At 38.1% G+C, this 16,301-nt stretch overlaps 1 protein-coding gene across 1 annotated transcript; it reads right to left on the minus strand.

Moving 5' to 3' along the window:
- Positions 6,913 to 12,334, minus strand: SCG2 (secretogranin II). Its single transcript, NM_003469.5, has 2 exons — positions 12,258 to 12,334; positions 6,913 to 9,269 (listed from the first exon to the last, which is right to left on the minus strand). The coding sequence occupies exon 2, from the start codon at positions 9,253 to 9,255 to the stop codon at positions 7,402 to 7,404; it is 1,854 nt and encodes a 617-aa protein (NP_003460.2). The 5' UTR covers positions 9,256 to 9,269; positions 12,258 to 12,334; the 3' UTR covers positions 6,913 to 7,401.

Below are 16,301 nucleotides of genomic sequence, written 5' to 3' on the forward strand. Positions count from 1 at the left end.
AAATGAGTTCAGAGCTAGGTCATGTAGGCCATTGTAGAGCATGGCAATAACAATGGAAAGAGTACCAGGAAATGAGTTCAGAGCTAGGTTATGTAGAACATTGTAGAGCATGGGAATAACTTTCACTCTCACTCTGTATCCTCTAATCTAGGTTATAATTGGATCACACTAGTTGCTATGTTTAACATATAGGAAAGGTAAGAGTGGAAGCAGGAAAACCAAAAGGAAGATATTCCAATAACTCAAGTGAGCGATGATTATCGTTTATTGCATGTTGGCAACAGTGGGGGTGGTGAGAAAATGAAATGCGGATGTATTTTAGATTGGCAAGACAAGATTTGACACCGGGTCATGAATGTATTATAAGATAAAGAGCAGTGTTGGGATGAAATAAATGAGTAAGAAAATACGAATTCCGTTCTGAACAACTGAGAGAGAAAAGTCTGCAAGAGGAGCTGGAATTTTGCCAAGGAATGGGAAATCAGGAATTCTTCTATGGCTATATGACATTTGAGACACCTATTGGACATCCAGGTGAGGTTGTCATCTAGACAGTTGAATATATGAGTTTGGAGTTAATGGAAACATTCTCAACTACACATACTGGACATTGTTGACCAATAGTTGGTGTAAAAGCCGTGAGGCTAGAACTGGATCACCTATGGAATAAGTGTGGATAGAAAAGAGAAGAGTTCCAAGGTCTGGACTCTGGTCTCCAGTGTTTGGCAACCAGGGAGATAAAGATGAACAGCAAAGAAGACTAGAAGAGTAGCCACTGAGGTATGGAGAGAACCAGGCATATTTAGTGGCTGGACACCAGGCGCAGAAGGTGTTCAAAGGTAAAAAAGGTGACGATATAGTCTAATGCTGCTAAGTCAAATAAGATAGGAACTTGGAATTGGCCATCAGATTTGGCAATATGGAGGTCACCTTTTACCTTGGCAAGAGCCATTTCTGTGAAGAGGTGAGGTCAAAAGCCAGACTGAAGGGATTTAAGAATGGGAAGAGAGAATTTGGATGAGGACACACAACTCTTTACAGGAATTTTTCTGTAAGGGGAAGAGACATGGGGCAGTAGATGTAGGACATCATGGGGTCAGGAGAGGGTTTGTTTGTTCAGCTGGTTTTGCAGATGAAAGAAAGCAGCCTATTTGTATGCTCATAGGGATGAATCAGTAGAGAGGGGAAAGTTGATTCAACAAAAAGGGGGAACTTTACTGAAACAAGGTTCTAAAGTAAGCAAGAGGACAGATGTTAATAAGACAGGAGCACAGACCAGTCACCTCCCTTCTCCCCCAAAAAGGAATCAGGAAAGCAGAGAGTGTATTGCAGATGCAGGTAGGTGGTGCAAAGTGGAGATGGGCATCTGTACATCTCTTCCTTGGGGTTGCTTTATTTTTTTAGTGAAACATGAAGCCAGATAACCATTTGAGAATATGGATTGTGCAGACAGTGCTGGATATTTTCAGACAGCAGGAAAAGTGTGATATTATTGCCTAAAGAGTGAGAGACTGAATAGATGAGGGGTGTATGAGGATTATGGGTCAGCATTATGGTCCACTTGAGGGCAGTGAGCAAGAATTTAAAGTGAAATCAGTCAGTGTTGTTATGTCTTGCTTCTGCTATGCTCAGTTGTAGGAGAGAAGGTAAGATGGGGTGGAGAATTGGACATAACTAGAGTAGTTGTTTAGTAAAGAGAATGCAATGGAACATGAGAGACAGAAGAGAGTTAAAATGTTTACAAGGTAGTGATTATAATGACTCACCATGAAATTTATGCTTGACAAAGTGGGTGATGAAGAATAAAAGAGATGACAGAGAGTGGAAATATGGCAGGATGCCTGGATTCAATTTTGGGGGTGGAGGGATTATTAAAACTGAAGTACCAGAGGAAGCACACTGACAATAAAGAAGGCGATTGATAGAGTGAAATGTTTGGAATTGACATTTAGGATAGTTATTGGTAAGGAAACGATCAGGGGCATAACCATGTAAGTGAAGGCCTGATAGAAAAATGGAGGCTGGGCTAGAAAAATGGAGGCTGGGCTGGAAAAATCATCTTATGCATATTGAAATCAACAAACGTTAAGACAGAAGCAGTGCTAGAAAAAGCCACAGTGAGCAGGCATTGCTACCTTCAGGAATGAGGTGAAGTGACCCGGGACAGCAGATGACTGCATCCGCCAGTAGTAATGGTTGATGGCAAGAGATTCAGCATTGGATACTGTTTTTTTCTCTTTTATTTTATTTTTTATTATACTTTAAGTTTTAGGGTACATGTGCACAACGTGCAGGTTAGTTACATATGTATACATGTGCCATGTTCGTGTGCTGCACCCATTAACTCGTCATTTAACATTAGGTGTATCTCCTAATGCTATCCCTCCCCCCTCCCCCCACCCCACAACAGGCCCCAGTGTGTGATGTTCCCCTTCCTGTGTCCATGTGTTCTCATTGTTCAATTCCCACCTATGAGTGAGAACATGCGGTGTTTGGTTTTTTGTCTAGAATGGCAATCATTAAAAAGTCAGTAAACAACAGATGCTGGAGAGGATGTGAAGAAATAGGAACACTTTTACACTGTTGGTGGGACTGTCAACTAGTTCAAACATTGTGGAAGTCAGTGTGGCGACTCCTCAGGGATCTAGAACTAGAAATACCATTTGACCCAGCCATCCCATTACTGGGTATATACCCAAAGGATTATAAATCATGCTGCTATAAAGACACATGCACATGTAGGTTTATTGCGGCACTATTCATAATAGCAAAGACTTGGAACCAAGCCAAATGTCCAACAATGATAGACTGGATTAAGAAAATGTGGCATATATACACCATGGAATACTATGCAGCCATAAAAAAGGATGAGTTCATGTCCTTTGTAGGGACATGGATGAAGCTGGAAACCATCATTCTCAGCAAACTATTGCAAGGACAAAAAGCATTGGATATTTTTATGGAAGAGAGAAAGAAACTGTACTTTAAGCAGAAGAAAGGAGCAAGAAAGGGGGATGCAGGGAAAGCAGCAACCTTAGAGGAGAGGTAGGTTTCCCTTAGAGCAAAAAGGTGAAGAGAGTATTCAAAGAAGAGGTTGAGGATGCAGGGTGTCATGCTTATGACTAACCTTGAGTATCAAAGGGCATGTTGAGAAAGGTTATAGCATAAGGGAAGAAGGAGAAGTTTGTGTCCAGGTAGTTCTCTAGAGGGACAGAACTGATAGGATATATATATACATATATGAATTTATGAAGTATTAACTCACACAATCACAATAGGCCATCTGCAGGCTAAGGCACAAGGAGAGCCAGTCCAAGTCCCAAAACTGAAGAACTTGGAGTCTGATGTTCAAGGGCAGGAAGCATCCAGCATGGGAGAAATATGTAGGCTGGGAAGGTAGGCCAGTCTAGTTTTCACGTTTTTCTGCCTGCTTTATATTCTAGCTGCACTGGCAGCTGATTAGATTATGCCTACCTAGATTAAGGGTGGGTCTGCCTTTCCCAGTTAAAATGACTCAAATGTTAATCTCCTTTGGCAACACCCTCACAGACACACCCAGGATCAATACTTTGCATCCTTCAATCCAATCAAGTTGACACTCAGTATTAACCATCACAGTCCATAAACGTGATATAGAAAGTTTAGGGAGGTTTGAGTGTGAGAGAAGAGGGTAAATTAAAAGTCTTGGTATAAGGCCAGGTGAGGTGGCTCACACCTGTAATCCCAGCACTTTGGGAGACCTAGCTAACAAGGTGAAACCCCGTCTCTACTAAAAATAAAAAATAAAAATAAAATTAGCCGGGCGTGGTGACGGGCGCCTGTAGTCCCAGCTACTCTGACAGGAGAATGGCGTGAATCCGGGAGGCGGAGCTTGCAGTGAGCCGAGGTCGCACCACTGCACTCCAGCCTGGGCGACAGAGCAAGACTTCATCTCAAAAAAAACAAAACAAAACAAAACAAAAAGTCTTGATTTAAGGCCAGGCGCGGTGACTCACGCCTGTAATCCCAGCACTTTGGGAGGCCGAGGCAGGCGGATCACGAGGCCAGGAGATTGAGACTATCCTGGCCAACATGGTGAAACCCTGTCTCTAGTAAAAATACAAAAATTAGCTGGGCGTGGTGACATGCTCCTGTAGTCCTAGTTACTTGGGAGGCTGAGGCAGGAGAATCGCTTGAACCCAGGAGGTGGAGGTTGCAGTGAGCCAAGATTGCACCACTGCACTCCAGCCTGGCAACAAAACTCCATCTCAAAAAAACTCAGCAAAACTCCATCTCAAAAAAAAAAAAAAAAAAAAAGGTCTTGTTATAAAGGATACAATCAGATTAGTCCTAATTGTCCCCAAGCGGATGGGAGGACACGCTGTGAGTGAAAAGGGGAAGGAAGGGTCAGTAGGTGGGGGCTTGCCAAGAACATAAAGTACCAGGCTCCTATCTGATTCCTACTGATGGAAACAAGGACTCCTGCAAGGGGGCCTGTTTTAATGAACATGCAGTTTCCTTCTCTTCCCACAAGTAGCCTGCAGTGGGTGTCTGCTTGGAGGTCTGAGCTACTCCTGACTTCTAATGAAGGAGGGTTCTGGGCAGGGACAGGGACAGTGTTGCCCTAATTGCAACTAATTTGTCATCTACATCTTTGAATTATACTTAGAGCTTAATTTCTTACGCTAGGGAATTACATACTAAAGTACTTATGAAAAAAAAATTTTGGATCAGAAGTAAGTAAGCCTGATGAGTCAATAGTTGAAGATACGGTAGTACTGCAAAAAGGCAAAGGTGCTTGCTGATTGATGCCTAATGGAGGTCGGGGAAGAATATGTATCTCAAATTAATACATCTTCTCAACTGCCAATCCTGATGCCTGAAATGTCTCCATTAGAGAATCCTGGAATTTCAGACCTAACTGAGGTTTTAAGAACAAAGCAGCATGGTGTAGCCAAAAGTGCAGGCTTTGGCATACTCCTGGTTTGTGTATAAATCCCAGATAGGAGCCTCATCTGCTGTGTCGTGTCAGTTTTACTGCCTTCCTTGCCTGACCTCTCAGTAAACTGTTTAAACATCACAGTGAAGGCAAATTTCTTTTCGGTAGAGATGCGTATGTCAAGTTCTTATTTCTGCTTAGTGCTACCATGGGAATATTCACACAGCTGAGTTAGGATCTGAGGAACGAGTTATATAGCATGACATAGAAGACTGGACAGAGTATACAATGGGTGGAAGGTGTGTGTGGATGCCTGCAAAGCATGGCATATAAATATGTTCTCTAAACTTTAAGCAACATAAGTATCCTAGATCTCTCCACTGGAAGGAGCCCCACTTTGTTCCCCGGCCTCCCCCCATACATAACTCCATGTATGATAAAGCATCAGACCCACATGGAAGGGTGCATGCCTGAGAGTTATGGTTAGTTGTGGGTTAAAGTCCACTTCACCACTAACCTGCTGTACAAATGAAGCAACTTATTTTACCTGTCTGAGCTTCCAAAGCTACAAATAATATCAATCTCAGAAGGCTATGTAGAAAGTGAATTGTAATAACCTGTGAGAAAGCTCCTTCTGCAGAGCAGCCACTCCGTAGTGTCCAATTTATAATACTAAATTGTGAGGGAGAAACCCCCTATCTCAAGAGTATTTGAGAGTAAAGTCTACATATTAGAAACACCGTAGAGATAATTGCTTCTAAGTTCCCGCTGACTTGCAGATTCTAGAATACCACAAAATTGCATGATCAATGGACAGAAAAGAATCTGGGCAAAATTATAAATTACAAAACCTACATTCAATGTTTTCCCCCAAAGCATCCAGGCTCTGGGACTGCCTTATGACAGTTTAGCCTTTTGATAGTTCAGGGATGGTCCCCCAGACACACGCACACACACGCACATGATGCACATACACACATACACACACATGTCCTTTTTTGGAAGTGACCCATACTAAAACCTTGGGAGCTTCTCACGATTCAACCCTGATGTCCATTCCTCGGTTGAAAGGGCACTTCCCAGAGTGGCAGTGTAGTGAAGTGGTTGAGAACACAGATTTGACAACTCATAATGCTAAGTGACTTTGGGGAAATTATTTAATCTTGCTAAGTTTTATTTTTCCTATTGTAAAAGGGAGGGGGAAGTTATAGAGTAAACAAATTATAGTTTATAATTACAAATTATAGACTAAGCAAGGCAAAGTTTGTACAGTGTTTAGTATAGAGCCTGTAGCACAATAAGCATTCAAAAAATAAAAGCTATTGTTTATTTCCTTGTTTATGACCATTATTGTTTTGTTGCTCTGTGCATTTTCTTGCTGATGTTGTGTTGATTCTCTGTTGATGTGTTAGGTGGCTGACATTGCACTAAAGTGATGTGCGCTGTAATAACCATGCACTTCTTTGCCCACTAGGGCAGAAGATGGGGCTGGTTGTTCCCACTGCTACTGTGCTTCTTCACTTACCTAATGGTCAGTTTGGGGGTCCTTTGGCCCCTCTCAAGTCACATAAGGGAGGCAACAGCCTTGTCTTTTGGGGACCAACATGACCTGGGAATAGACAAGTTCCTTTCAAGTCTGTAGTCATTTTTGATTGCCATCTATGCAGCCTTTTCTTTTTCTTTCTGTTTTTGTTTTGATGGCTGCCTATGGGTATTGGAGACTTAAATTTCTTTTACTTATATAAATCAAGAGTAAAAAATACCTAAAACAAAGACTCTATCGATTATATATTTGAGGAAAACCATGGGCAAGCATAAGGAAAACCATGGGCAAGCATAAGGATGCAGCATTCTGCAAGCAGGTACCATGAACACATGTATAAAATTCATTACTTCTTACCTGAATTGTCTGGTGAAGATGATTTTCTCTTTTGGCTTCATACTGCTTGCTTCGTAGACATTGTCTCTGGTTTTCCATAATTAAGAGTCCAAAGTTGTCCAGAAATAACATTTATTAATCAACAGTAAAACACACAATAGAAAAGGCCTTATAAATAAAACTATATATTTATAATGCTTTATTTTTTTGGTCCAGTACTCCACAAAACACTACAGACAGTAACAAAATAATTCAATAAATATTAAAAACTTTCAATAGAATTATAGGACACTTTTTTATCATATGTGAGCATCAACAATGCCACAGCCATTAGATATACTATTAAACACAGTCATAGATATCTTTCTTGAATAATGGACATAATAAATTTTTTATCAAGGAGTCATAACATTTACACATATCCATACACAAGATAACAGCTCAGAGGAAATGAAGCAGACTCCCCAGTGACCTGGTTTCATCTGCCTGTACATCATTTAAAGATATTACAGTGTTAACAGGATAGAAGTCAACACACTGAAGAGAAATGTTGGGATTTGCTTGGGGTGGGAGGAATGAAAGTAGGGTAATTAATGAAAGCAGCTTACATATTTTCCATTGCTCTCTTAGCAATATGCTCCCTTCCCTTTTCTGCCTTTTCTTGGTTGAGGTATTCCAGCACTTTCATTAACAGATCTTCATCCCAGTACTGCCTATTTGGGGTATCATCATTCTTCGGGGGCCCCACAGGGAACCTTTTGCTCACCGGGGCCAGCTTGTCAGTCTCCTGAGAGCTGCCTTGATTCAAATGCTCTTTGATGGCCTGCTCAATTTGTTCCTCTTCCTGCAGGTCATCTTCAGATGAGCCTTGACCAGGAACTCGCTTCACTTGGTTTGAATTAATGATCTCAGGGTATTTAACTAGCATCCTGGCCAAGTACTCACCTAATTCTTGATCCTTGTCGTTCAGGTTTTCATATGCCATCTGTCTGTTTTCAACATGTGGAATCCAGGCAGCTTTGGGAAGCTGGTTCGATCTAGATCTTCCAGCACCATAAGGGAGCCTTGGCAGAACTTTCTCCTGGTTATATGGATTGGGAAAATACGACGTTTTCTGATTTGCTGCACTCTCCATCCCTAAAAGATTTAAAATATCCTCAACACTGAGCCCGTCTGGTAGGGCCTCAGTCCCAGCACGACCAGGTGTTTTAGGGTAGCCACTCTTGGAGAGCATCCTATTTTGGAACAGGTCTGGATGGTCTAAGTCAGCCTCTGAGATGTCATCTAGGTCAACAGGAAGGTCAAGCTCCCGCTCCGGTTCCACTGATCCATTCGGCTTCTCCCCAGTTTTGAGCATCTCAATTAAGTCTTCTGGGGGTATCTGTAAATTCCTTGAGATTTCAATCAGCTGATAAATAGACTGAGAATCAAGAGGTTTCTCAAAAAGCCTGGTGGCCCTTTCCCCATTTTGCCCATTCTGTAACCTCCCACTTCCTGCAGCATTTACTAACCTTTTCAAATAGGCAATTACTTTGGAGACATCATCTGAGAGTTGGTCTTTACTCTCTTTCCGAAGATCTTCTTCCTGGATGCCAAGCTGCCCTGAGCGTTTCATCTCATCGTTGATTTGTTCATTTTTTTCTATATTCTCTTTGCTGTCTCTCACCTCTTCCTGGGTTTGACTCTCTATTTTCTCCTCTACTGGGTTCCAGTCTTCTCCCCCGACCACATCTTCATAGGCAATGTTATTAGCCTTGTAGATATCATCTTCATCATCCGTATAAAGTTTTTGCTCCTCATCCATCCTCTCACGTTTCTGGTTGTTTGGTCCTGTCAGTTTCCCCAGCTCTTGGAAGACAGATTCCAATGTAGCAAGGCTTTGAGGAGTATATTGTTCCTCCACTATTTCATTTGTGCGTTTAAAGGGGTTATCCCTGGAATTCTCTTCATACATAGGAGGGAATTGCATGTGCTTAAGCTTTCTTTCTGGCCACTGCTGTGTCTCATAATCATCACTCATGTCCATTGGAAAGTTCTTTTCTGAATTCAAGGCATAGGGCTTATTTTCTTTTGGTGCAGACTGAGGCTCATTTTCAGCCTGTCTCAAAGCTTCGAGTATTATTCTCATCCAGTCTTCTTCACTCAGTGAATCCCTCTCGGGCAAGTGGCTTTCATCGCCATTTTCTTTTTGCTGAAGGGGGACAGAGACACCTTGGTAGGGATTATAATCTGGGCTGCTTTCTTCCTTATGAGCTTGTTGTCGGAGGTTTTCTATGTACTCCAAAGCCCTGATCATTTCAGGACTGGGAAACTTTTGGACATTTTCCAACCTGAGGTCTGGTTCTTTCTGAAGCAGCTGGTTTCTCTGAAATGAAGCTGCTTCAGCCCCAGAGATGAGGAAAATTAAAGGGATAAGAGACAGGGCTGCTCCAAGCCAGTGGGTCTTTGCTTCAGCCATGTTTGAAAGATTTCCTTAAAACATAAAAAATATGAGTTACACAAATGAAACAAACTAGAAGACACTATAGCAAAAGAAATAATTGATCATTGAGGTGAGGAAAAAACATAGTAGATATTATTTCACATTAAGCTTAGGATAACTCTTTTTAAAAATTCATGAATATTTTCCACATGATTCCCACAAGCAAACCACAGGAATCTTTAGCAAAATTATTACTCATTCACCAAAAACTTGCATAGCATTCTCTTAGTTAAAACAACAGCAAAAACACTGATATGAGATTTCTTAAATTTTATTTTTTCATTTACAGAACTTGTAGTTTGATGTTTAGTACATGTTGTTTCTCTATAATAAAGCAGCAAATACTTCCCAAGATGTTTTAATTATTTTATATATTGAAGTCTATTGGCAAAATAATGTGTTGGCTTAATTTAAAACATGCATTTACACATACGCGCCCACAAATTATGTCCTTAAAGTTGTGTCAAAAAACATGTGGTTTATTTCCTGAAATGTCCATCTAATTTTGTTGCTGAAACACAGCTGCAGTTACATGACCATATATGACAAAGTAATACTTTTATATGTCAATCATACCGAATTACCTTCTGGGGAGTCCTATCCAGATATATTTTTCAGAAATAACTTGTTCTCAATCTGATACCGAATCCAATGATCCATAAATAACCTCCAGAACACGGGTCTTCTCAGATTCCAGCCAGTAGACTAAACCAATGAAGTTTCTTTTTGTGTGAACGTGCTAAACCAATAAAGTGTTTTAAAATCTCTTTGCTTCATATTTCTTCTAATAATTTATATTATGACTGTCTTGCAAAATGCAATTGTGGTTATACTTTTCATCAGCCCTTCAGAGTGTATAGTAAATAATAACAGATGCTACAGAGAGAACATAAGTTTTTTTAGCTAGTCTATTTCTGAACTTGTGAGTGTTCAGATTCAGTTTGTCTTCTGTCTGTGTCTATTTTGGTATGGACCTGTGAAATCTTAAATCACTCATACTGTTTAGAAAAATCTTAAAATAACCACTATGTAAATCCCAATTCAAATAAACACAGATGATGTGCTGAATTCTTCCTACTTAAAAATCTCCATTCATTATTTCCTCCGATGCCTTAAAATCTTACATAGGAATTAGGAAGAGGATTAGTTTTTATGTGTTTTACATTTAATATTGCTAACATTGAAAAAACTATTTTAATATTGGCTATTTTGTTGTAAACAAAATGAATGTAAGAGGAGTTTACAAGTTTGTTCATATCTTTACCAGATCATGGTTTTGTGATAGATAAGCTAAGTTATATGTATACAATTTTCTGTTAGCTTAGACATCAATTGTAGAAAATACCATTGTTCACAAGATCATATTGATGATTTTGTTTCCAGTTTTTTAGAGCCCAATAATGGCTTAGTTATGAAAACATTTTAGCATACGTATATACCTATTTAAATGATTCACGTTTACCAGAGTACTTAATTTATTGAAAGAAACATCTTGAAAGGCATTTGAGAGGATACTTCCAAAATATTTATTATAAATACATGTTTACTATAAGTAATTTTATTCATAAAATAATGAGGTTCAAATAAAAATACATTATGCACTCTTGTTTATATTATTTCAGGATTAATGTAGCTTTGGTAATCAACTTTCAACATTGGCATTTGAAATAATAATCTTAAAAACCTTACTGAACTTATTTTTTTTGAAGCCACAATACTGAAATAGTCTTAACATGTGGATTATATGCTCATCTTTAAAATCATTATCTTGGAACTGCACTTTGCTGTAAAGTTGAAGCAGACTACTCATTGCAGTTGTTTAAACCACAGCCTAAGAAGTGCTACCCTTTGCTTAACTATTCAGCTTCAGTTTGAATGACATAGTTATTGCCTTTGAGTGAGACCCAAAGGATTCTTTTCCCAGGTAGCAGCTCTTTCAAGTAGTAAAGATGTTTCAACAGCTCTACTATTCTATATGGGGTTTGATTTAAAATTGAATTTTCTGAAATCCAAATAATTAGAACATTATTTTTCCCCTGATAGCTATCATTAAAATCTCTCAAGTTAAAATGTCTTTTCTGTTGAATTCAGGCTAGAGCATTGACACATGCAGGTGACTATATGTAATTTAAGCAATTCAACTAGTTGGGATACAGAAAAAATGAAATACTTGTCCCAGACAAAATCTTTAGCAACATATTGAACATCCTCTTTAAATCAAATTATAGCAATAACAATAACAATTTACAAAGTTATGAGTATTTTCATCATGTATTCAAAATGATCATTTCTCTGTAATTCATGGTCACAGCCAAATTACAACCCAAGATAATATTTTGCCCTGGAAAAAGGAAGAATCCAGTGTTCAGGAAAATCCTAAGTTAACATCTTAGAACTAAAATTAGGAGATAATAATGTAAGCTCTTTCAAATATACAAGTTCAGAAAAGAATTTTATGTGGTTAGTTAATTCAGAGCTCTTGTAAGATAAATATCAAAGAAAAAAAACCTAGTTCCAAAATGGGTTGCCTTTATGACTAACATGCTTGACAGCCTTTGTATCATTGGAAACCTACTGTTAAGAATATTAAACATATAAATTATACCCCTGGCTTCGTATCTGGCTCTTAGTGGCAGAAATAATAAATTTTGGAAAGAAACAAGATATTGGGCTTGGTTAACTTTACATTAATCTGTGTATTGACACTAAAATCCTTAACTTTTTCACTCTTTTTTATATGATTATCTAAGTAACATTCTGGTTAGTAAATATCCAACATCAAGTAGTATAAAGCATAGACCCGATCATGTATATACACATATGTAGTGTCCTTACATTGGCTGATGAGCAGCAGGTTGCTATTCAGTTATCCTATCGACATAAGCTTGCCAAACAGTCTTTTTCTTCTCAGCTAGGAATTAAAAGAAGAGCATGCAATTTGGAACTTTCCAATAAATCAAAGAGAAAAGCAGCCTTACCTCTTTTTGTTTATATGGCAGAGGAGCTCCACAGCATATTCCTCCCCGTTCTCCGGGCGAGCTTCTCGGGCCGTTTCAGCACACGGACAGCTCCTCTGCTTATAGGGAGCCGCTGCGCCTGACTCCGCACTGCCACACTGACGTCACCGGGTTCAGCCACAAACCCCAGCACAAGCGAGGTTTTTCAAAGAACCAAGAGAAAATAATCACTTTATATTTAAAAAAAAAAAAAAAGAAAGAAAGAAAAGAAAAGAAAAAAAAGTTGCATGCTTACGCCACCTGTCTTTTTGTGGCAAAAATTGCAGTTTTCCTTTTTCTTTTATCAAAATCTTTGAGACGGAATAAACTGCTCTGCACGATTTCTCTTACAAAGAAAGAAATGTGTGTCAGACAGACATGGCTAATTGCAAGACAATCTCATCTATGTTCTAGCAACTTGTTATAATAGTTTCTTGGTGTCACTGTTGTAATTGTTGTCGTCGTTGTAAGAAAGTTTTACAGACAAGGATTATTTTTTCATCTTTGCCCACAAAGAAATTACATTACCATTTCCTGTTATAACCAAGATGAATGGAGGACACATTATAAATATGAAAGGCCATATTTCTTATCATGACCACAGCCATCATTCTTTTAAAATCATATTTATTTGAATAAAACAGAGAGTTCTCTCTCTTTTATATGAGAGCCAACTTTAATAGCTTATATAGTTTTTTAAATGGGTATTTATCAGACTTCAAGCTTAGTAGCTAATAATTCTTTATATCTCTGTTACTGTCTTTCACAATATCTGATCTCAGAAAGGGAAGCTCAGAAGTTGAGTGCTGATGAAAATACTTTCATCTACTTAAAAAAAAAGTCTTTTCACTGTTTGGGAAAAATGTGACACATACGTAACTAGAATTCATTTGCAATCGAAAGGAAGTTGTACTATAAATATTTCCCTTCTCCTGTTGAATCAGATGAGTTGAATACCTTCCATGAATGTGAACAATCCAGGGAATAATACAGCAATTAACTTTCAACCTCTCAGATTTATAATTCATAATCATTCCTCTGCCTTACCAGATAACCTGATTATATATTTCAATAATTTATATGGATATAAATTTTAAACTTTATTTTATTAAAGATATGAGTTTCTAAAAACTGTATATGTTGACATATACTTTAAGAATGCAACAGAATCTTGCCATATAAGAGATCCCATGTGTTTCTGCTAAATGAACAATCAGCCACTGACTCAATAAATTGTAATACCTACTAGGTGCCAGATACATTGCTAAATGCACAATTGTTAACTAATACAAAAATAAGTGATTTTTTTGCCTTTGATGAGCCTTTCAGCTAATGGGGATGACATGCAAATAAACACATAATTTTCATATAAATTGGAAAGCATCAATAGAGAGGTTAGCTAGCAGTGTTTGGACCATTTGGATAGCCAATGGGTTCAACCTAGAAATTCAGGGGGAAACAATGTCCTGGAATAAAAGGCCTAAGCTGAGATTTCTCACTATCAGGTTTTCTTACAAGGATTTCTAACTATGTTAGTACTTTTGAATTCCTCGAAAAAATAGGAAATGGCTTAAAGTCTTACAGAAAAAATCTTGGAAAAATGTGCCTCGATTCTCCCTATTTGGTTTTCCTAAACGACTAGGAGATCATCATTTGTGGATTGATATGAATTCATATACACTCAGACTGGGGTTATATGTCCAATTCATCCAACAAATTTTGCCTCATAGTGGTTTTTTAGGGCATGATCAAATGCTGGGTTGAAGAGACCTAAATATGACCCATTTCTCAAGCATCATCTCAATGACACCAGCTCATTCACTGACATCCTTAGCTAAGATTGCCTTAAATCTTAACAAAGCCCTGGCTAGCTGCTCCAAGTTTGACCTAATTTTCTGTCCAGCAGTTCTGTGTGACCAGTTCAACTAACCAGTATCAACGCAGCTTTAGAAAACTCTGCAATTATTCTTAAAATGTTGAGTTTGTTCAGCATAGGTCTCAAAAGCCCTCCAGAAAGTCATCCTGACTAGGCTAATTCATTTATGTGGAACTAAACTTTTTGGCAAGAACCAGAAGCTACGGTTCTTCTAAAGCCCCAGAGTCAACATCTTGCCTGGAAATATCTTCAATCATCCAAAAGACATGCAAAACCTCATTCAAAATCTCCAAGTAGATGTGAGATGCCAGGAGGCTGTTGCTGGGATGGATTGGCTCCACTAGGCTCAAGATGTGGGTAGAACAATAAGCCATTGTGGGCTATTGAATTTCTGCCTATCTTATGAGACTATGATAAATACCTCTCACTTACTGAGTTCTGTTATGATCCAAGCACTGTACTTGGAACCTAATTTAATCCTCCGGACAACTATAACAAGTAGGTATTTTTATCTCCATTTTACAGATGAAGAAACTAAAGCTCAGAAATAAGTAAGTTGCCCACTATTTTGACTTATAATTGGTAGAGCTAGAATTTGTATTTAAGTCCATTCTATGATATTTCTACAATAAAAACTATGATTCAGACACTGCTAGAGATGGAAATACAGAAATAAATATGGGATGGATTTAATCATTAAAGACCCAAGTCCAGAATTTAGTTTCTTTGACAAAAACCCCCAGTTGTCCAGTTGCTTTTCCTGGTCTAAGAAAAGCAAAGGCATAGGCCGGGACTTCTATTTGGGGCAGCACCAATGGAAAGCAAGAATAAACATTAGATCACAGCCTTGATGCTATGGGGCATACATCTTCCAAATAAGAGAACAGTTGCTGAATTAGGAAAATTCTATTCACCAGCCTGTTTTTTCAAAATCAAACTCCCCAAACATATTTTTTAACTTTCAAGTTCAGGGGTACATGTGCAGGTTTGTTACATAGGTAAACTTCTGTCATGGAAGTTTGTTGTACAGATTATTTCATCACCCAGGTATTAAGCCTACTACCCATTAGTTATTTTTCCTGATCCTCTCCCTCCTCCCACCATCCACACTCTGATAGGCTGTGTCGTTCCCCTCTTTGTGTTCATGTATTCTCATCATTTAGCTCCCACTTACAAGTGAGAACATATGGTATTTTGTTTTCTCTTCCTGCATTAGTTTTTTAAAGATAATGGCCTCCGCCTCTATCCATGTCCCTGCAAAGGACATGATCTCATTCTTTTTTTGGCTGCATAGTATTCTATGATGTATATGTGCCACATTTTCTTTATCCAGTCTGTAATTGATGGGCATTTAGGTTGATTCCACATCTTTGCTATTGTGAATAGTGCTGCAATGAACATACACATGCATGTGTCTTTATAATAGAACAATTTGTATTCCTTTGGGTATATAACCAATAATGGAATTGCTGGGTTGAATGGTAGTTTACATCTTTGAGGAATCACCACACTGTCTTCCACAATGGCTGAACTAATTTACACTCCCACCAACAGTGTATAAGCATTCCTTTTTCTCCATAACATTGCCAACATCAATTTTTTTTGTTTTTATAGATTTTTCAATGTGTTATATTTAACATATTTCCAAAAGTCACTAATTTTTTGCCAGTAGTTATTTGTTCTAAAGGGAGCTATTTCTCAAATAGAAATGTATTTGGAGAAGAATTTAAAATGATATATATATATATATATATATACACACACGTATATGTACACACACATATATATATATCAATAGTTTGTTGACATAAAATATTTTAGAGCATGTATAAAACATTAAAATAACCTATAAATCTTTGTATCACTGAACCTGTTTCAAGGAATTATTTAAGCATGCCTTACAAAATTTTAATTTTCTTGTTAGATCTAAATTGCCAACTATCATCACCGCCAAGAAACGAATCTCTATATTGTGAACGTTTTCAGAATAATTATGTACTATGTATGAAAATGGATTTTTAGAAAATTAGCTTGCATCCTCACCAGGGTGCTGTTAATTTCAAGTTAATCATTCACAATTTAACGTTAAGTAATTAGAACAGATGAGTTTGTTTTTATGACCGGATTTTCTTAAATCTTGGTCATTTTAT

Source organism: Homo sapiens, chromosome 2, assembly GCF_000001405.40.
Source record: "Homo sapiens chromosome 2, GRCh38.p14 Primary Assembly".
NCBI classification, from domain to species: Eukaryota; Metazoa; Chordata; class Mammalia; order Primates; family Hominidae; genus Homo; species Homo sapiens.